At 37.4% G+C, this 21,351-nt stretch overlaps 1 protein-coding gene across 6 annotated transcripts in view; it reads right to left on the bottom strand.

Moving 5' to 3' along the window:
* SEC22A (SEC22 homolog A, vesicle trafficking protein) overlaps window positions 1-21,351 on the bottom strand; it is a 72,194-nt gene that overhangs the window by 17,583 nt on the left and 33,260 nt on the right. For all 6 annotated transcript variants that reach the window (XM_011512675.4, XM_011512676.4, NM_012430.5 and 3 more), the window contains one exon: window positions 10,540-10,655. In XM_011512675.4, the coding sequence (XP_011510977.1) occupies window positions 10,540-10,655 (116 nt within the window). The remainder of the gene's footprint in view (window positions 1-10,539; window positions 10,656-21,351) is intronic.

Raw genomic sequence — 21,351 nt, 5'->3', positions numbered from 1 at the left:
CTTAAACTGGGTCTTAAAGGCTGAACCAGGTAGGCAAGGTAGGAAGAGAATCAAAGGCAAAGGAAGTAGTGCGTACAGTGTCAAAGAGGGAGGAGATTAAGATTGACTCAGAGGCTTCTTGTTTAGGCAACGTTTGAATGACACCATGCACTAAGTTGGGCATATGGAAGAAAAGTAATTCAAGAGCAGAAAATACTGAGCTCACTGTGGGACATGCTATTCTAGAGCTGCTAGTGGGACATCCAAATAATTATACTTAGCAGATATTTCAGTCTGCTTCAGGAAAGAGTTTGATCCAGAGATCTAACTTGGCAGTCTTCTATTTTAATAGTAGTTAAATGAAAGGCCTATGACAACCAAGTAAAAATCTCAATTCTTGATTAGCTCCTAGATTAGAGAGAGGAACAAAACACTATATAGAACATTCTGGGGGCAACTATGGAAATTTGAATACAGATTTTCTATTAGGTAATACTATACTAATGTTAAATTCTTTGGTGTGATTAAGGTATTATGATTACGTAAAAGAATATCTTAGCTCTTAAGACATACATATTGAATTCAATTTTGGAATAAACTGAGATGATACCTACAGTATTAACTTTGAAATGACTCAGTAAAAAAAAAAAAAGAAAGAAGAAAGTAAAATGGTAGGTAGGTATATGGGGTGGATGTTAATTCTGCTGTTCTTTAAACTTTTCTATAAGTTTGAATTCTTTCAAAATAAGATGTTATGTGGTGCAGCAAAAGGAAAACGCAAATATTTAATAAAAAGTCATGCGGCCACTAAAAAGAATAGATCTCCGTGTACTGATGTGAAATAAACTCCTACATATTTTTAGACTTAAAAAGATGCAAATTAGTATTGAGTATGCTATCATTTTCATAAAAATTTTAAAAGAATAATTGCATAAGTAAATATATAAATACCTATATACTAGCATAGGCACATAATCTCCCTAGAAGGATGACTCTGAGGAAGAAAGTTGGGAGGCAATTACTTTTCTGTGAAAATATCAACTCTTATAGGCTTTGAAATTTTTATGTGCATATTTTACTGTGTGTGTGTGTATGTGTGTGTGTATGTATAAATGTATGTGTATTTTTTCAAAAAGGCCATTATGAAAGTAACCAAGAAGAGGGCATGGAGTTGGAAGAATATAAAGCCAAGGACAGAATACTGGAGAATGCCACTATGTAAAGGACAGGTGGAGGAAGAAAGTGTATCAAATAAACTGAGGAATAGGAAGAGAAAGAGAGAAACAAAACAAAACAAAACAAAACGGGAGAAAACAGTTTCATAAAAATGAACGGATGAGAGATTTGTCATGAAGAAAAATGTAAATACATTAAACTATTAACAGTGACTTGTGTCTATGTTTCCTGAAATAAAATTCATTTTTTGAAATTAAACAAGGAAATGTTTAAAAGGAAGAACATAATGACAGATGAGGCAGAGAGGGTACATAAGATAAGACTCTAAAGAGTTTCTGCTGTATTTGGCAATTGAAAGGATACTGGTGAGCTTAATGGTGGATATCTGAGAGAATTACAGGAGCAGAAAAGAGATCATAGTAGACTAAGACTCATAGGTGGGAACTGAACAATGAGAACACTTGGACACAGGAAGGGGAATATCATACACTGGGGTCTGTTGTGGGGTGGGGTGAGGGGGGAGGGATAGCATTAGGAGATATACCTAATGTAAATGACGAGTTAATGGGTGCAGCACACCAACATGGCACATGTATACATATGTAACAAACCTGCACGTTGTGCACATGTACCCTAGAACTTGAAGTATAATAAAAAAAAAGAAAAGAAAAGAAATAGAGGGTAAAGGAGCAAGACAACAAATGTAGTCTACTCTCTCAAAAAATTAGAAGAGAGCATACGTAAAGAGGCTTTTTTGGTTTTGTTATTGTTTGTTTTTTAAAGAACAGCAGGGCTGAGGGAAACGAGCCAGTAGGGAACCAGCAGATGAAATGTAGGTGAAGGAATAGCCAGAGGTTGGAAGGTGGGCAGAGGTTAGGAACAAGGACAAAAGTGGGAGTGGACAGAGGTGGGGAAACAGAGACAGGAAGGAAGGCAGAGGAGAGGAAGAAGAGGGCAGAGGTAAGGAGTTCCAATACACATTTTTATGAATGTCACTATTCACCTTTAGGGGATACTAGAGTACCAATGTATTGCTCTGAAAACAAATAAAGGACATTTTCTTTTAAAGATGAGGATGGGTCAGGGGCAGTGGCTCATGCTATGATCTTAGCACTTTGGGAGGCCAAGGTGGGAGAATTACTTGAGGCCAGGAGTTTAAGACCAACCTGGCCAACACAGCGAGACCCTGTCTCTTTAAGAAAAAAAAAGATGAGGATGAAGGTAAACAAAAGCCTCATATAATAGCCACACAATGTATTAGGAGGATACTATTAAAATGTTTATAATAATTAGGGAATATTTACTTTTTAATATTAAGTGAAAAAAGGACATAATGGATACATGTACATGTATGAAAATTTGGTGATAATTTTTATTTTATTCTTTATACATTTCCCCCAACTCTTTTTTGTTATTTTTATTTTATTTATTTATAACTTTTTTATTTTCTTTCTCCACTTTTTAATGTTATTTAATCTTTATTATCTTCTATTTTATGGCACTGTCTTGTAGGATCTCCTAATTCTTTAACAATGAATTAGCATATAATCAGAAAAAATGCTTTTATTTCTTTTGAAAGAAAGTAAGCACCACACCTTAGCATAGATATGTCACTAAATAAATGAAAAAGTTCTGTTAAGTATTAGCAGGGACATAATTTCTTTCTTTCTTTTTTTTTTTTTTTTTGAGATGGAGTCTTGCTCTGTCGCCCAGGCTAGAGTGCAATGGCACAATCTTCGGCTCACTACAACCTCCGCCTCCCAGGTTCAAGCAATTCTCCTGCCTCAGCCTGCGGAGTAACTGGGATTATAGGCACCTGCCACCGCGCTCAGTTAATTTTTGTATTTTTAGTAGAGATGGGGTTTCACCACATTGGCCAGGCTGGTCTTGAACTCCTGACCTCGTGATCCACCTGCCTTGGCCTCCCAAAGTGCTGGGATTACAAGCGTGAGCCACCGTGCCTGGCCAGCAGGGACATAATTTCTTTAAAAGGCATCAACAAGTCTATGGGAAAGAAGATAAGAAATAAAAGCAAGTTGATGACTTCTGCTTTGTAGAAGCTTTTACAAACAATTTTAGAATCCGAGAAATCTTAGATTGTCTGTCCTAAGACCTAAGAAATGGCCCCTGGGCTTATGTAGTCTAAAATCTTCATCTTGCAGAATTGCAAGATGAGATACAAGAAGGTAAAATAACCCATGCAGGGTCACAAAGTTACTGGCAGATGGGACCCAGGTATCTTAACTTCCAGGTCAGCATTTCTACTGAGATATCAAAAGATTCCATTTTTTTTCTAATGTGCCATATGCAAATTACTTCCAGGTTGGTATTAGCCTAATTAATGTAATTGTTTCAAGGTTGAGCCTTAAAGAAATACATGTAATATAAGCCAATGTGAAAAAAGCTTATGCCTTCATAAGGTATCAATTCACAAAAAACTTATTACCATCTCTAAACTCAGAGCAAAGTTAAGAAGTGAAAATAATCTAATTTATATATTACTGTGGACTCCAAAATAAACTTATGAACTTAAAAAAACTATACCCATCCTAAGCCTCCCCAGTTTAAACTTAGATACCAAGAAAAACTTCAGTGCTACGTATTTGAATAAATCCCTTGCTATCACCCTGTGAGGCAGTTAATAATCTGGAAGAAACAAACTTGTGCTGAATCTTCAAACACCATTAATAACATGCAAGAATGTTGATTCATGTGGGTCCTCAAATTTAAATGAGCCTCAAGATACTAGAGATAAATGTAGCAGTCATTTTCAGCATTCAGAAAGAGTGTTTAGAATTCATGGCTTTAAAAAAGTAAGCTTTAATGTCTATATATTACTCAAACTCAGGAAATACACTACATATTTTCAGTCAGATCTAAAATTATAATTCCCAAATAAGTCCTTTGCTCTTAAATCAAGTATCAGAGAAGCAGTAAGCCCACTCAATCTGGGGTACTGCCCTTCCCCCTCCTCTAACATTGTGATATGAATAACACCACTGTAGGTAACTTCAAAATAGATAAAACTTTAAGTCCTGTGTCCTGGGATTTGCACTCAAGTCTTCAGAGCAGACTACCTCAGAAAGTTCTACCTTTACTAACCAAAAATTATCCAGAGTGACGTTTGAGATTATTCCTAATGTAAAATGTAATGATCAACCAGAAAGAGGGCTAAGAGTATGTCTTAAGACTAATGGCTTTAGTGAAAATAAAAAGGATATTTTATCCAATACAAGTTGTGAACAATGATAAAACTTCAATAAGGGAAAATTAAAAGTAAGAGACCTCAGGTTCCCAATTTTGTATGTATTTTCTTTCAGGTTAAGTCGGGCTAAGGATGTACTCGGAAAATCACTCTAGTTTGCACTCTTGAACCTATCTGGTTTAAACCTCTAAAGTTTATCATTGTGTCCATTTACATTCTGACACTTCATTTTCTCCTTTTGTTCACTTATCATCCATTCCATCTTTTAGGACACAGAATCTTTACAAAGCAGAGAATTCTAACACTATATAGTGCTCCTTCATTTATCTTCACAGTGGGAAAAGGAAAGGAAAAATATTCCCAAGCACTAGTCACTTACCAGAACATTGTTGTACTCAATGCAGATATAAAGTCCTCGATAACTGGAACAATGGGAGTTTCTACTTTTGGTCAAGTGGATTTGCAAAGGTACTGATTTTCATTTAGGTGAGAGGATCAGAATTTGCTGGAAAATCTTTTAAAATTACCTATGAATGACAAACTACTTGTGGACTACATTATCCCCAACTTTGCATTCTGTTGTTTCCTTGCTCCTCTTAGAATCACTCTCTCAGGAACCTCAACTACTAAATGAGTGTATGTGGAATACTTCAGGTGGGTTATGGCAGAACAAAGACTTTAAGTGCTAAGGGAACACAGAGGCAGGTACCAATGCCCTCATTTTCCAGATAGCTAAGAATCCCCATATGAACCAATTTACAGTTCCCTGGATCAGGTAAGTAAGAAATGTTAGAGTAATTTAGTCTAAGACAAAAGAAAGGATTCTGTATCAACCATCAGAAACATACAAGCCTACACACAGAGTTCCCAAATTATAAATGACCTACTAATAAAAAAGACCACTCTAACCTTTTCCCCATTCATAATTTATACCCCATGCTTCTTTCACACTCCACCACCATAGTTGTGACGAACTGTTTTAAATAAACAAAAAAACAAAAAAATCTCTTTAAGTTTCTAGGGAAACTGAAATCTAACATGGGGCAGGAAGAAGTTGCAATGCCCTGCAAAATATTCAGGCTCCCCGACAAAAATATTTACCTTTACTTTCTTGAAATGTTTGTTGCTTAAAATCTACTAATTAAGTTAACAAAAGTTGTCTTTCTTTCTGCTTACATAACAGGTGCTAATAAATATTTAAAATGAGTCAAATATTCATGATTCAAAAATTAAAAATAACATATAAAAAGATACACATAAATATATACCAGGAAAAGTCTCATTCCCACTCAATTTTCCATCTGTCCAGTTCCTAACATGTTCATTAGTCTCTTATCTTTCCAGTTTCTTTATGCAAATTAAAATACATTGTTATTCCATCAAGCTATCCTAGGTGAGGAGACTTGGGCTGAGCTGGCAGGCACTGGTGGGTGCTAGGCCAGAGGACCTGGTCTGGCTGTCTCTCACTGGCTTTCTCAAAATGGCCATTGTTCTGAGAGGGCATACATTTGTACATGTAACCTTGAAACATGAATTCCTGATTTCAGGCTCCATTATGGCTGGGGATCTACTATCCTCACCTGGCCTGTGTGTAGAGGAAGACTCGTCCCTCCATAGGAAGAGAAGGCCCAATCCACTGCTTCCTAAGAGTGGGCTGGGCACAACAGGTTCTACTGTAACTGCCAAATGGAGCAACACCTAACTAAAGAATATCAAAGCCCAGAGTGAGAACATTCCTCCCTTTCCAGTTTTCCTCCAACTTCTTATTTTTTTATTTTTTTTTTGAGACGGAGTCTCACTTTGTCGCCAGGCTGAGAGTGCAGTGGCACGATCTTGGCTCACTGCAACCTCCACCTTCCAGGTTCAAGCAATTCTCCTGCCTCAGCCTCCCGAATAGCTGGGACTATAGGCGTGCGCCACCACACCCAGCTAATTTTTGTATTTTTAGTAGAGACGGGGTTTCACCATGTTGGCCAGGATGGTCTCGAGCTCTTGACCTCGTGATCCATCTGCCTCGGCCTCCCAAAGTACTGGGATTACAGGTGCGAGCCACCGTGCCCAGCCCCTCCAACTTCTTATTATGGAGAAAGTCTGTGTTTTAATGATGGATTTTTAAAATAGACTTTTTAAGAGCAGTTTTAGGTCTACAGAAAATTAAGCAGAGAGTTCCACATATTTTTCTTCTCTCCTCTGCCCCTGATTCCTGACACAGAGCTCCTAAAATAAAACCCTTGTAAATAAACATGCTAGGAGACTCTTGTTTCCATATTTGGTCTTTTTTGTTTTGTTCCCTATATTTGGTCATGGACCCTGGTGTTGACACAGAGCTACTGAAACCTTTGTAATTTCTTGAGTGATAAGAGCATCTGAGGCTGGGCGAGGTGGCTCACACCTGTAATCCCAGCACTTTGGGAGGCCAAGGTGGGCGGATCACTAGAGGTCAGGAGTTCGAGACCAGCCTGACCAACATGGTGAAACCCCATCTCTACTAAAAATACAAAATTAGCTGGGCATGGTGATGCACATCTGTAATCCCAGCTACTCAGGAGGCTGAGGCAGGAGAATCGCTTGAACCTGGGAGGCAGAGGCTGCAGTGAGCCGAAACCATGCCATTGCACTCCAGCCTGGGCGACAGGATGAGACTCCATCTCAAATACATATATACATATATATATATATGATAAAAAACAGTATCTGACACAGAACTCCTAAATCACTTGGAATTTCCCAGGTAATAAGAGCATCTTTTATTCTAATCAGGCAATTCTTGGTGAGATCCTAGATGGGGGCTGGTTACCACAAAGACCAAGCCATGATTAGAAGCTAATAACTTTAAGTCCTACTCCCACCCTCCGGGGAGGGGAGAGAAACTAGAGAATGAATTAATAATCAATCATGCCTACATGAAGAACCCTCCATAAAAATCCCTAAAAGATGGGGTTCACAGAGCTTCTGGGTGGGTGCCATGTGCCAGGAAGGTGACAAACTCCAACTCCATGAGGACAGAAGTTCCTGTGCTCAGGACTCTTTCAGACCTTCCCCTATGTACCTCTTCATGGCTATTCACCTTTATTCTTTGTAATTTCCTTTATAATAAACCAGTAAACATATTTCCGTGAGTTCTGTGAACCATTCTAGTAGATTATTGAATCCAAGGAGGGGGTTGTGGGAACTTCCAATTGGTGACAACCTGAACTTGCAACTAGCATCTGAGGTGGGGGCATTCTTGTGGGACTGAACTCTTTACCTGTGACATCTGGGTTAACTCCAGGCAGATAGTGTTAAAAGTGATTTGAATTAAGGGACACCTAGCTGGTACTGGGGAATATGTTGATATGAGAAAACCTCCCACACATCTGGTGTCAAAAATGAAGCTCTGGAAGTATTGAGAATCGTGAGAGTACAGAAGCAAACAGCCTGTTTTTCCCTATACAACGCATCCTTGCTTTTCCATATGAACTTTAGAATCACTGTTAATATCCATCAAATAACTTGAAATTTTGATTGGGACTGTATTGAATCTATAGACCAAGTTGGGAAGAAATGATACCTAAACAATATTGAGTCTTCCTGTCTATAAACATGGAATATCTCTCCATTTATTTAGATCTTCTTTGATTTATTTGATCAGAGTTTTATCATTTTCCTCATAAAGATCTTGTATATACATTTTAGATTTACTCTGAAGTGTCTCTTTTTGTTTGGTGTCACTATAAATGGTATTATATTTTTAATTTCAAATTTTAATTCTTTGTAGGTATATAGTAAAGCAATTGAGTTTTGTATATTAACCTCATATCCTGCAATCTTGCTATAATTACTTATTAATCCCAGGTTTTTGCTATTGTTGTTGATTTTGGACATATTCTACATAGAAAGAGAATTAACAATATCCTACTTAGTCATGTCATCTGTGAACAAAGACAGCTTTATTTTTTCCTTCCTAATCTGTATATCTTTTATTTCCTATTCTCATCTTATTGCATCAATTAGAACTTCCAGTATGATGTTGGACAGAGTGGTAAGTGGGGACATCCTTGCCCTGTTCCTGGTCTTAGGGGGAAGCATCTAGTTTCTCATCATTAAAGATGATGTTAGCTGTACGTTCTTTCAATAGATGTTCTTTATCAAATTGAGGATGTTTCCCTTTATTCCTAGTTCGCTCCAAGTTTTTATGATGGATGGGGTTTGGATTTTGTCAAATGCTTTTTCTGTACCTACTGATATGATCACGCGATTTTTCTTCTTTAGCCTGTTGATGTGATGGATTAATTGGCTTCTAAGGGTGACTGGCCCCCGCATACCTGGGATAAATTCCACCTGGTTGTGGTGTTAATTATTTCTGCAGTGTTGGATACAATTTGATAGTATTTTGTTGAGGATTTTGTATCAATATTCATGGTCTGTAAAGTTGTCTTTTTAAAATGTATAATAGGCTGAGAAATCTCAGAGCTATCAGTCAGTTACACTTAAGTGGTAATTAGTTTAATAAGATTATTGTTCTTCTGAAACCTAAAACTCTATCAACTGCAATGAGCCAGAGACATTACTGATCAGAGGGAAGACAAGGAACAATTAGGAAACCAGGTAGGTTTTAGCCTGTTGCAGTATCTCAAAAGCAAGAAAGCTGTAATTTATACTACTTTCCTTAGTTTTTAAGTTTTAAATCAGAGGAGAAAAAAAGAAATCAGCCCAAGAGGAGGGATATAATATCTGAGTGCCTGAAATAAAGTACTGTTCCCTTAAACTGGTTTTGTGAATACAATAGCCTTGTCTGAATTTTAACTTAAAGTTAATGCAGTCTAAGCCCCAGGTTCCATAACTTGTATACTGTTTTATAAGTCAAAGATAGTGAAACTCTGTGGGGGTCAAGATTTTCTCTACCCAAGCCCAAGCCTGCTTCACCAACAACTCTTCATACCCCTATACTACTGTTATTTCTACTATGTTGAGTACAAAAAAAAAGAGTATCTTATTTGTAAGCTTTTTCTATCAGCAGTCTCCAAATTGTCTTTGTTTCTTCTTTTTGTTAGGTCATCTAAACAGCTGAAAACTGAACTCCTTCTGCTGGAATAAATCTGATCTGGCATGGGGACAGGAAACAGAAAGGCCGAGGGACAGCAGCCAGCTGTCCTGTGCATAAAAGGGGAGACGAGCTTTAACCTGAGGGCAAAGGGTGTTTGGAAGAGGAACTAAGAAGTCATAAGAAGTCCTGTCCATCTCCTTTACGAACAGCTCTGCTGCTGGAACCTGTGATGTCATCTGCTGTTGGCTTTACATGGCTAAACAGATGCAGAAAGATACCCTCTGAGGGTTCCCCAAACTAACAGCAATTTAAAAACAGAATATAAAGTGTGCTCAGTGGATTTTTACAAATGGTATTCTGCACTTAATGCTGACCAAAAAAAGAGGACTGATTCATAATGTGAGAGTGTCAAGAGTTCTTCAGAGAAAGTGAATAGAAATAAGGGAAAGGAAAGCTGTGCAGTCTCAAATGTGCTAAACTTAAAAAAAAATTTCAAAAAGTTTACAAAAAGCATAAGAGAAAAAATTAGTATATTCTGATAGCTATAGCTTCTGAAAGGAACTCCACTTGAAAATGTAATAGTTAGCAATATCTGAATAAATTTGTGGTTTTCTAGGAAGCTCAAGTTTTAAGAAGCCACTAACAAAAAAAGAAAAAGAAGCAGATGAACTAAGTAGGGAATACACAGAAGTGGAATAAACACAGCCCACGTGTGCCCTCTTCATTCTTCCACTGCTCTCTGTCTGATCAGATCTTTCCAGGACCAGTTCAACTCTCCTCCACAAAACCTTCCTTCTCCAATCCTGATTATACTGACCTCTCCCCCTTCCCAACTCTGTGTATTTGGCAATTACTTTCTTGCCTCCCCAGTTCAACTTTCAGTTATGAGACTGCAAGGCCTATGTCACACACATCTTGGGGTCCCCAGGGTGCCTATAAATAGTGCCTCCTAAAGAGCAGATGATAAACATGTGCCAATGGAATCAAAGAAGCCAACCAGTGTTTTTAGAAGGAGGCTAAAGCAGATATAAAAAAACATAGATTTTGAGTATGCACTGTAAATTATACTAATACCCAATCCAATTCAAATCAATTATGTAACCAGTAGAATGAAGAGGCACAGTCACCTGAAATTGCAAAAATAGCACAGTACCTGCAGGAGACTTTCTATAGCATGAAAGCCTCGAATTAAATTCAGAGCTCCACATAAAAGACTAAGGATAAATCCTACAATCCCTGACAGAGTTGCTGGTTCCAGTCGCTGGTGAGCTGGAAAATAAAAGAAATAGTTAGAAATGAACACCAATACCTCACAAAGATGAACTTAGGTAAAACAGAAATTCACTGCTCAACTTAAATGGGTCAAGCAGATACTTCATAGAATTATTTAACACCATATATTCACAATTAAATACTGTTATAAAATGAAAAATGCTTGACAACATAAAAGCTTCATTTCCCTGAAAAATTAACTTATTTTTCTCTTTTTCCTTTTTTTTTGAGACAGGGTCACAATCACAGCTCGCTACAAGCCTCAAACTCAAGGGCTCAAGCGACCCTCGTGCCTCAGATTCCCGACTATCTACGATTACAGGCACGTGCCACCATGCCTGGCTAATTTTTTCTTGAATTGTTTATAGAGACAGAGTCTCACTATGTTGCCCAAGCTGGTCTTGAACTCCCGGCCTCAAGTGATCCTCTGACCTTGGCCTCCCAAAGTGCTGGTATTACAGGCATGAGACATTGCATCTGGCCTTTCTCTATGTTTTTAACAAAGACATGTAACTTGCATTTGGGATAGACAGTGCTAAGGGATGCTCACAACCGGCAGTAAATCATTTAGAAAAAACCTTACTGCATAAATATGTCTACTATTTGCAGGTAGGTGAAAGTATTTGTAAAGGTGACTTTGCTTGGAAATTCATTGCATAATCCTACTTTTTCTGAAAATGCTTAGGAAACATTTTAAAGTACAAACATAGCTTACTTTTAAGCAAAACTTTGCCTTATCTGGGTTCTAGGGCTATAAATATCACTGGATACATGTGAAAGCTCATATATAATCAGCAATCTGAACTCCAAAACAGAATGGAGTCTTATAGCTATGAAGTTCCTGGTCCTCTGAATAACACTGGAAGGTAAAAATGACAAAACACCAGCTGAATAAGTGACCATTTTAGTTTCATAAATACATTCCCTTATCTTCCAGGGCTGCAGCAGCACAAAAGTTATACAATAGCTTCCCTTCATCATCATCTTACGCTTAATAGAATTAACAACAGGGTCTACATGAAAACACATAACTAAATACATAATCATCTAGACCTCAAACAGGAGACAGAGGGAAAGACAACAGAACCACATTTAGAGTATTTTATTTAAATCACTGAAGTGTAAACGCCCTAACAATTAAGTTAATGAGGTGGAACATTAATATAAGGGCGGGTTTAAATCTCTGCAACTTATATTCAGCCATTATAGCAGAACATCTTCCCTAAACAGTTATAAAAACACAAGAATCTACATATCACAAAAAAGTATTTATTCCCCAAGTTCAGCAGAAAGTGCTTATATAACATTTTCTTAAACTTCTCTGGTGCCCAAGCTGCCTGCTCTCAATCAATTTCCTTGATATTGTAATATGACAACAGAAAATTAAATGTCACTATTCAATATTGCTTCCAAGTGTTATATCAGTAAAGAAAAAAAAATTCACGATTTAAAAATCTATCTAATTCGTCTATACATTTAAAGGCATAAAAGCCTTTAAAAAGCATAAGTCTCCTTTAACAAGAACACAGTACACCTTTGCTGAAGGACAGCTGGCGTTGTGCCAAATCACTGTGGGGAAGAAATTCTAGAGATTCCCCCACTTCCGCCCCCACCCACTTCCCAGGTTCTGTGGCTTGTTCCTTGAGAAGTTATCAAGAGAATACTCCATCTGCCCACAACATAAGAAGGTGACACTTCTTAATAATTTCTCATTTTAACAAACTGAACTAGATATTTAATCACATTTTAATGTATTAACTATTTGTTATTTTTTTTACTTCAGTAAAACAGATTTTAGATCCACTATTATCCAAAAATGCTTAATTTGGCACCATTCTAGGTACTATAATATTTGGTGTAGAATGTTTGTAACAATAACAAATAAGAGGCAGTGTAGAAAAACAATAATTTTGCTGAATCCAAAGCAGTGTCATCTGGTCAGTTTTTGTTTTGCTTTTGTTATTATTGCCTTCTCCTATAAAGTCTTTTCTTTAGTCTTCTTGAACCCAAGGATGGCATGTTGATAACAAAATTAAATGTTTCTGAAAATGTACCAATGGTTTATGGAGACTCTGCAAAAGTTCCTAAAGAAGTAAGAATAAACCCCTTAGAACCAAAGGAACCAAAGAGCTATTGGTTACAGTAAATTAATATATTTATTCAGTAAATACTTTCTGGCATGGTTCTGTGTAAGATGCTATGCTTTCGAAGATACAAAAATTGAATTACATATTCTGCCCTCAAGGCACTTCTAGTCTTTTATAAAAGAGATAAAACAGATAAGTATATGAAAGTAATAAGCATTCTAAGCTAAAAGAGGCAAGGAATGATGAAGTGGAAAGATAAAGTAGGGGGAGGGTGGTCTAGAACCAGGAAAGAGCTTTGAAGATAGATAAAATGTAGTCAGGTACAAAGGGGAAGAAATGCATTCCACGCAGAGAAAAGAATGTGAATGTGATGGAGATGGAAATGGGAGAAACGAGTAACAACAGCATCAACAACTACTACTTCTACCAACAGTGACTGCTCTCAACACGCCAGGCACCAAGTGCTTTATATACTTGGTCTCACTGTATCCTTCCAACAACCCAATGCAGTAGGCACTATAATTATCCTGGTTTTCTGCCCCACCCCGCCCCCTCCCCACCCCTCCCAGAATAGGAAAGGTTTAGGGACATTAAATAATTTGCTCATGGGCACAAAGTAAGTACGTGAACTGGGATTTAGATGATTCTGGAATTCATGTTCTCAGCCATTCTGCTATAGGGCATTGCTAGTGGTTTGGTTTGGCTCAAAGCGATGTTTGTGACAAGTGGGGAGAAATAAGGTCAGAAAGGGAGGTGGACACAAATTGATAGTATACAATTCTAGGCTAAGAATTATGGAAAATTAGACAATGGGGAACCACTGAAGAACAAGATTCTCATATGATGAAGGTTATACTTAAAGAAGATTAATCTATTAATGGGTTGTAAAGAGATCAAAAGTAAGGGAGGGAGAAATAATATTTTTCTGAGTACCTTCTCACTAAGCACCCATTGTCTCATTTACCCTTCAGAATGGCATACTTCATGAGGTAGAAATGACTAACTTCTCTGTGACTGAACTGGAATGACTAACTTTTCTGTGCCTAAACTTTCTCATCTGTCAATTAAGATTAAATTATTTTCTATAAGTCAGACAGCCAGAAGGGCCATCTTCACAATTAGCACTTAGGTCTATCTGACTGCAGAGCCCATGCTCTTTCTACAGTTCTACATTAGGAAGTTTGTGGGAGAGTCACTGCAAAAGACTGACTGAAATCAGGGCCTGAATCAGAATAGTCACAGTAGAAATGGGAATCTGAGTGCTTGGGAGTTCATTAAAGAATAAAGCTAAAATTAAAAAAAAAAAAGAAATGGGGAAAAAGAAGTAAGATGTCATGGAGGTTAAAATTATTAGACTTGGCAACTAATTAGATGTGGCAAACAAAAGGGGGAAAAAAATTCAAAGAAATGTTGAGGTTTTACCTCTAGGTGATCGGAAAGATGAGAGTACTGAGCAACAGATCCACAGGAAGAAACTTAAGTTTGATAAAAAATGGGGACATTTTAACATCATATTTGAGGTGATGGTGGGCCGTGTTTAACAAGCAACTGAAGAATGGAATAGCTGGGAGAAGCAGACGAGGTCTGCAACTGAAGGGAAAGGTTTAAATGAGCGTCAAAGAAAGAAGCAGGCCAAGGGAAATCCTTGGTAAACACTGTCAGTAAGGGATGGAAGAAGAGTCAGGGAAGGCAGATGCAGGAGAATCAAGTGAAACCTAGGAAGGAGAGACCATCAAGAAGAAAGATATGGCTAACAGTGCCTATAGATAGGCCAAAAAAAATCTGACCTTAAAGTAAAAAGTATTAGACTTATTGAACAGGAGATGCTAGGATTCTCCTTAAAATTTTTTTTTTTTTTTCCAGAAAAGTGGTTGAGGGCTTTTTAGATCTCACAAATAAGTGAGAACATGCAATGTTTGTCTTTCTGTGCCTGGCTTATTTTACTTAATGATCTCCAGTTCCCTCCATGCTGTTGCGAATGACTGGATCTCATCTTTTTCATGGATGAACAGTACTCCATTGTGTATATGAACCACATTTTCCTTATCAAATTCAGATTGCAAGAGGTTGAACAACTGGCGATGTTAAGAGGTGGAAGCATTAAGTGAATACTACTGAAGTTAAAGGAGAGAAAAACAGGATGAAAGCTTAACAGAGATAATAGGATTGAGAAAATAATTCTTTTTTCTCTTACAGTGTTGGAGGGAGGGAGGAAGACTTGAATACATACATAGGTGGAATGAAATAATTCAGTGAAGATGAAATAGAAGAATCAAGAAAAAGGAAAAATAATTGATGAAGCAAAGTCCCAGAATAGTCCTTATGACGATTCAAAGAGATGGTACCATTCGAAATCTCAAAGATGCCCACAATGCCTAGGGAAACAGACTGTGGAAGATAAGAGAGAAATTTCAAGTCAGTTCCATCTAAATGAGCCTAATTTATTACTGAAGTGTGACTGAATGAGACTAACAGTCTGGCACAAAAACACACTATTCTTTTCATCAGTGAGGCCCTTCTTTATCATCACCACCTGTAAAAATCATGCATATCCTTCAAGGCTCCAAGACCTGAGTCTTCCTTCTTACCTCTTTTGGAGCATGTATCACATTCTACTTTGTGTTTTACTTATTGGATTGTATTTCCCTTTCTCATTCTGAGTACAGTTAATGTGTTTACTGTATTTCTAAAAAATGCCTCCACAAAATTTAGCATAATACTTTAGAGAAAAAAAATGATAAATACCTGTTGGATTATGAAGGGGATGTGTGTGTGTGTGTGTGTGTGTGTGTGTGTGTGTGTGTGTAAGAAAGAGAGATTAGTAAATCTATTTGGCTTGTGGGCACCAGCCAAAACAGAGCAGCATTTTCAGGCAACTGACAAATTTTCTAGAAAATGATAAAATAGATGAAAAATATACAAGTGTCAAAGAAACTGACAGAAGTGTTTCTATCAGTTTAAACCCTAAATTTAGGGTTTTGTGAAGTTTTTTTTTTAAAGCACAACATAAAAGTAAAAAGACTAACAACACTAAATGTCGGTGAAGATGTTGAGTAATCAAAATGCTCACAAATTGCTTGTTGGGAAAGTAAAATCTTACAACTACTTCAGAAAACTGGCAGTTTCTTAAACAGGCAACCTTTTGACCTATCAATTCCACTCCTAATATTTACTCAAGGGAAATGAAAATATATGTCAACAAAAGGATGAATGTTCATCGTAGCTTTATGTGCAATAACAAAAACTGAAACAAGTTTACGTCCATCAGCAAGAGAATAAATAAACAAATTGTGGTACATTCATACAATGGAATACCGCTCAGGAATAAAAAGGAACAAATTACTGAGACAGGCAACATGTATGTATGACATCATGCTGTGCAAAAGAAGCTGAACACAATAGTCACACAATGTAGTCTTCTTTTATATAAAGTTCTGGAACAAAACAAAGTTCAAGTGGAAAAAAATAAAAACAGTCGTTGTCTAGAGGATGGTGGAAATTGACTGAAAAGGGACACAAAGAAACTTTTCGGGGGAGATGGAAATGTCCTATATTGTGATAAGGGTGTTTAGTAATCATGTCTTTTTATTCTGTATTTTTGATGCTTTGACCTCTTGGGCCTTGCTGACCATGGAAGAACTGCCTCTCCCAGGGATAGCTAATTCCTAGTGATGGCAAACAACTTGTCTGAGTCCACCTTTCATACGCATTCCAATCAATCCAGACTCACACTACCAACCAACTCCTCTACAAGGCTCTCACAGCCAGGGCCATTATTTCCCTATCCCAATCATCCCAGGGCCACATGTCAGACAACCAGAGATAGAACCTATGCCCCAGAGTCCATTGAAATTATTCAAACTAGCCAATCTTAAAACCTCCTTACCCTGCCTCACCCATTCCTTACCACCAAAACCACAATAAAAGTTCTTGCATGCAATGGCAGCAAAAGCCAAAATTGACAAATGGGATCTAATTAAACTAAAGAGCTTCTGCACAGCAAAAGACACTACCATCAGAGTGAACAGGCAACCTACAAAATGGGAGAAAATTTTCGCAACCTACTCATCTGACAAAGGGCTAATATCCAGAATCTACAATGAACTCAACCAAATTTACAAGAAAAAAACAAACAACCCCATCAAAAAGTGGGCGAAGGATATGAACATACACTTCTCAAAAGAAGACATTTATGCAGCCAAAAAACACATGAAAAAATGCTCACCATCACTGGCCATCAGAGAAATGCAAATCAAAACCACAATGAGATACCATCTCACACCAGTTAGAATGAGAACACATGGACACATGGACACAGGAAGGGGAACATCACACTCTGGGGACTGTTGTGGGGTGGGTGGAGGGGGGAGGGATAGCATTAGGAGATATACCTAATGCTAAATGACGAGTTAATGGGTGCAGCACACCAGCATAGCACATGTATATATACGTAACTAACCTGCACATTGTGCACATGTACCCTAAAACTTAAATAATAATAAAATAAAAAACAGTGGAAAAAAAATAAAAGTTTTTGCCCACATTTTCCTCCTGCTCCCTCTGCCTCCTGACCCACATTGGTACATCCTTGTGTGCTCCCTTTAGGGATCAGTGAGTATAACAAACTATCTTTTCTATGACAGTCATCTCCTCCTCACCATACCTGAGTAATAATGAAACATATACTTTAAAACGGGGTGGACACAGCAAAGATTTGTGCATTTTAATATACGTAAATCTCCCTTAAACAAGAAAAAAATATAGAAATAAATTAGTGAGTGGATGAGTGGGGAGTAGGTAGAAGTACAGATGAAAAAAGAATGGCAAAATGTTGATATCGTTGTTATAGTTGAGTACATGAGAGTTAATTATACCATTCTGTTTATTTATACTATTCTGTTTACTTTGAAAATTTCCATAATAAACAGTTTTAAAAGAAGTAAAAGCAGAACACAGTACCCTTCATTTAATATTTTAACCCCATGAACAACATCTGTAGACTTCAGAAAATAAGTATGGCAAGATAAAAACATTCATGCCAGACTGTGGGGAGAGGATCAAAAGATTAGAAAGAGAAAAAAGTCAAGAAATACAAAAAAGATACTGAGAGTAAGATACTGTAACAGAGGGAGGAAAACCCTGAAAAATGATGTTTATCAAGTAACTATTAAACAGATTCTAAAATAAACTGAATAGTTTTATTTAGAAGTTCCAAAACATAAAAATATATTTTAACTTGGGGACCATAGAAAATATTATGTAGGCTTGGTCTGAATTAAAAGTAAATTTAAAGTTATATTAAAATAAGTTCTAGGCTGGGCGTGGTGGCGCACGTCTGTAATCCCAGCACTTTGGGAGGCCAAAGTGGGCAGATCACGAGGTCAGGAGTTCGAGGCCAGCCTGGCCAACATGGTGAAACCCTGTCTCTACTAAAAATACAAAAATTAGCCATGCATGGTGGCATGCACCTGTATCCCAACTACTCGGGAGGCTGAGGCAGAAGAATTGCTTTAACCCAGGAGGTGGAGGTTGCAGTGGGCTGAGATTGCGCCACTGCACTCAAGCCTGCTGGGTGACAGAGCAAGACTCCATCTCAAAAATAAAAATAAAATAAAATAAATTCTAGTTGTGAGTTACTTTTAAAACTTTTTTTTTGAGACAGGGTCTCACTCTGTCACCCAGGCTGGAGTACAGTGGCATGATCAAGGCTCACTGCAGCCTCAACCTCCCAGGCTCAAGCAATCCTCCTGCCTCAGCCTTTCTAGTAGCTGGGACTACAGTCACGTGCCACCATGTCTAGCTAATCTTTTAATTTTTTTTGTAGAGACAGGGTCTCACTTTGTTGTCCAGGCTGGTCTCAAACACCTAGGCTCAAACCATCCTCCCACCCTGGCCTCCTCAAGTGCTGGGATTACAGGCGTGAACCACTGCATCTTGCCCCTCTTCCTTAAAACAATAACAAATACCAGACTCTCCCCATTTTCCAAGTGTCTAACGTTTGGTGATCCAGGATGCCACTGCCAGCTACAGGTCAGGGTGGGGACTTATGGAAGTCAGGTGATACGTGGAGTTTCTAACAGAGTCTACCTCCTGGTAAGTCAAGTTGGACCCCCACCCCTAATTTAGGTTATATACCTGAATCCTGAGTGTCTATTAACGAACGGATATATTTTGCAATATTGACTGCCAGACCCATGGAATTAGAACTATTAGAGAAGGAAGGTCCAATGGAAGTTTTTGAGCTCCCCCAATCCAAATATCATCAAGGTAATTACAGAGATCAGTGCCACCATCCAAGTCTTAAAAGATGTATAGGTAGCAATTCCTATTATATTCCCATTTAACTGTCCAGTATAAGTCTCCAAAATGGATGTGTCTTGGAGGATGACAGATTGTAGGTTTCAACTGCATGTGCTTTTTCAAATGCAGTCTTCTTATGGAACAAAGCAATTCATTCTCTGACCTGTTGTAGGTACTAATTTGGTAACACATTTTTCTCTATCCTAATAAATAGAGAAAATCAGAAGCATTTTACTTTTACCTGATAAAGATATCAGTATATTTACCATATTTTCACAAGGCTATGTCAACTTTGTGCCAAAGATTAGCAGACAGCAAAGGCTGGCAAACTATGACCCACAGACTAAATTTAGCCCACCATCTATTTTTGTAAATAAAGTTTTATTGCAACACAGCCTCGCTCATTCTTTTATATAACATCTATGGCTACTTTCATGTGTTATACTAACAGAGGCCATATGACCTGCAAAACCTAGAGACCGAAAGTTTTCGCTGCTAATACCAGGATCAGCAAAAATACAAGGATATCTATTCTTGCCACTTCATTCTTTTTGTTCACTTCATTCATTTTGTAAAGCACAGAATTCTACATTTGCAGTTATTTTCTTTCATCCTTTCAAAGTTATCATTAAGTTGTCTTCTGGCTTTCATTGTTTCTATCAGATCGTGCATATGTGTGCGTGTGTGTGTGTGTGCGTGTTTCTTATGGTCTATGTTCATGTAGTGTAGTCTCTTAAGGTGCTTAATTATCTATGATTGTTTGCCAAACATTTTATTTTCAAAATCTTGTTGTAGACATAATTTGAAGCTTATGACACTATCTTCTTCCAAGAAAGATATTTGATTGCTTCTACCAGGACCTTTGGAGCATTAGCACAGTGGAATCACCTCACTCCAATTTTAGAGAACAATATGATTCAAAACTAAGTTCACCCATATTCCTAGGGTGCAAAAATCTGAGGTAGTAAACCAAAGCTGGAGAGACGCTCTCCAAAATGGGTAAAAGCACCAAAGGAAAAAGTAGCTCTGAACACTGGGCTCATCTCTCTGGGCCTCCATCCTCCTCTGCATCCCACTAATTCTTAGTAATCTTGTTGGATCTCCAGAGATATCAGGAAGATTATAGTTGATTAAATTCTATATTAGATCAGACATATATATTCTATAGAATATATACATTTCATTCAGCTTTTCTACATGTACTCAGTGGGACTAGTGGTCTGAATTACCTACTCCATCACTACTAGAGCTGGAAGTCTTCAAAGTAATAATCGAACTTATTAGTGATTTTAAAAATTGAAATATAATCCACATTCAATAAAATTAATACTTTTAAAACACACAATTCAGGAGTTTTTCGTATACTCAGAGTTGTACAACAATCATAAATACCTAATTCCATATTTTCATCACCCCCAAAAGAAATCTTATACCTATTAGTAGTCACTGCCTATTTCCCTCCATTCCTCTAGCTCCATCAATCATTAATCTACTTCCTGTCTCTCTGGATTTGCCTATTCTGGACATTCCATATAAAGAGAATGATTAATATGTGACCTTCTTGTGATTGACTTCTTTTATTTAGCATAATGTTTTTAAGGTTCACAGATGTTGTTATATGTATCAGTACTTTATTCCTTTTTATGGCTGAATAATAATACACTATATGGATATACCACATTTTATTTATCCACTCATCAGCTGATGGACAGTTGGGTGTCTACACTTTTTGGCTTTGAATAATGCTGCTATTCATAAATTATTTTGCATAATGCTACATTCATACACATATTTTTGTGTGGACATATGTTTGCATTTCTCCGGGGTACACCTAAGAGTAGAATTCCTGGGCCATATGGTGACTCTTTTTAACTTTTTGAGGAACTTCCAAACTGTTTTCCAAAGTGACTGCATAATTTTACAACCCCACTGGCAAAGTATGGAGATTCCAATTTCTCTATATCCTCATCCACACTTGTTATTGTCTATCTTTTTAATTTTAACCATCCTAATACATATGAAGTGGCATCTACTTGTAATTTTGCTTTGTATTTCCCTAATGACTATGACGTTGAACATCTTTTCATGTGTTAATTGTCCAGTTGTACAACTTCTTTGCAAAAATGCCTAGTCCAATCCTTTCTCCATTTTTAAACTGGATTATGTCTTTTTATCGTTTAGTTGTAACAGTTATTTACATATTCTAGATACTAGTTCCTCATCAGACATATGATTTACAAGTATTTTCTCCCATTGTGTCGGTTGCCTTTTCATTTTCTTAATAGTGTCGTTCGAAGAACAAAGTT

Source organism: Homo sapiens, chromosome 3 (assembly GCF_000001405.40).
Source record: "Homo sapiens chromosome 3, GRCh38.p14 Primary Assembly".
Lineage (NCBI taxonomy): Eukaryota > Metazoa > Chordata > Mammalia > Primates > Hominidae > Homo > Homo sapiens.
Note: the sequence above shows the minus strand (reverse complement) of the source record. Positions and strands in the feature narration are given on the sequence as shown.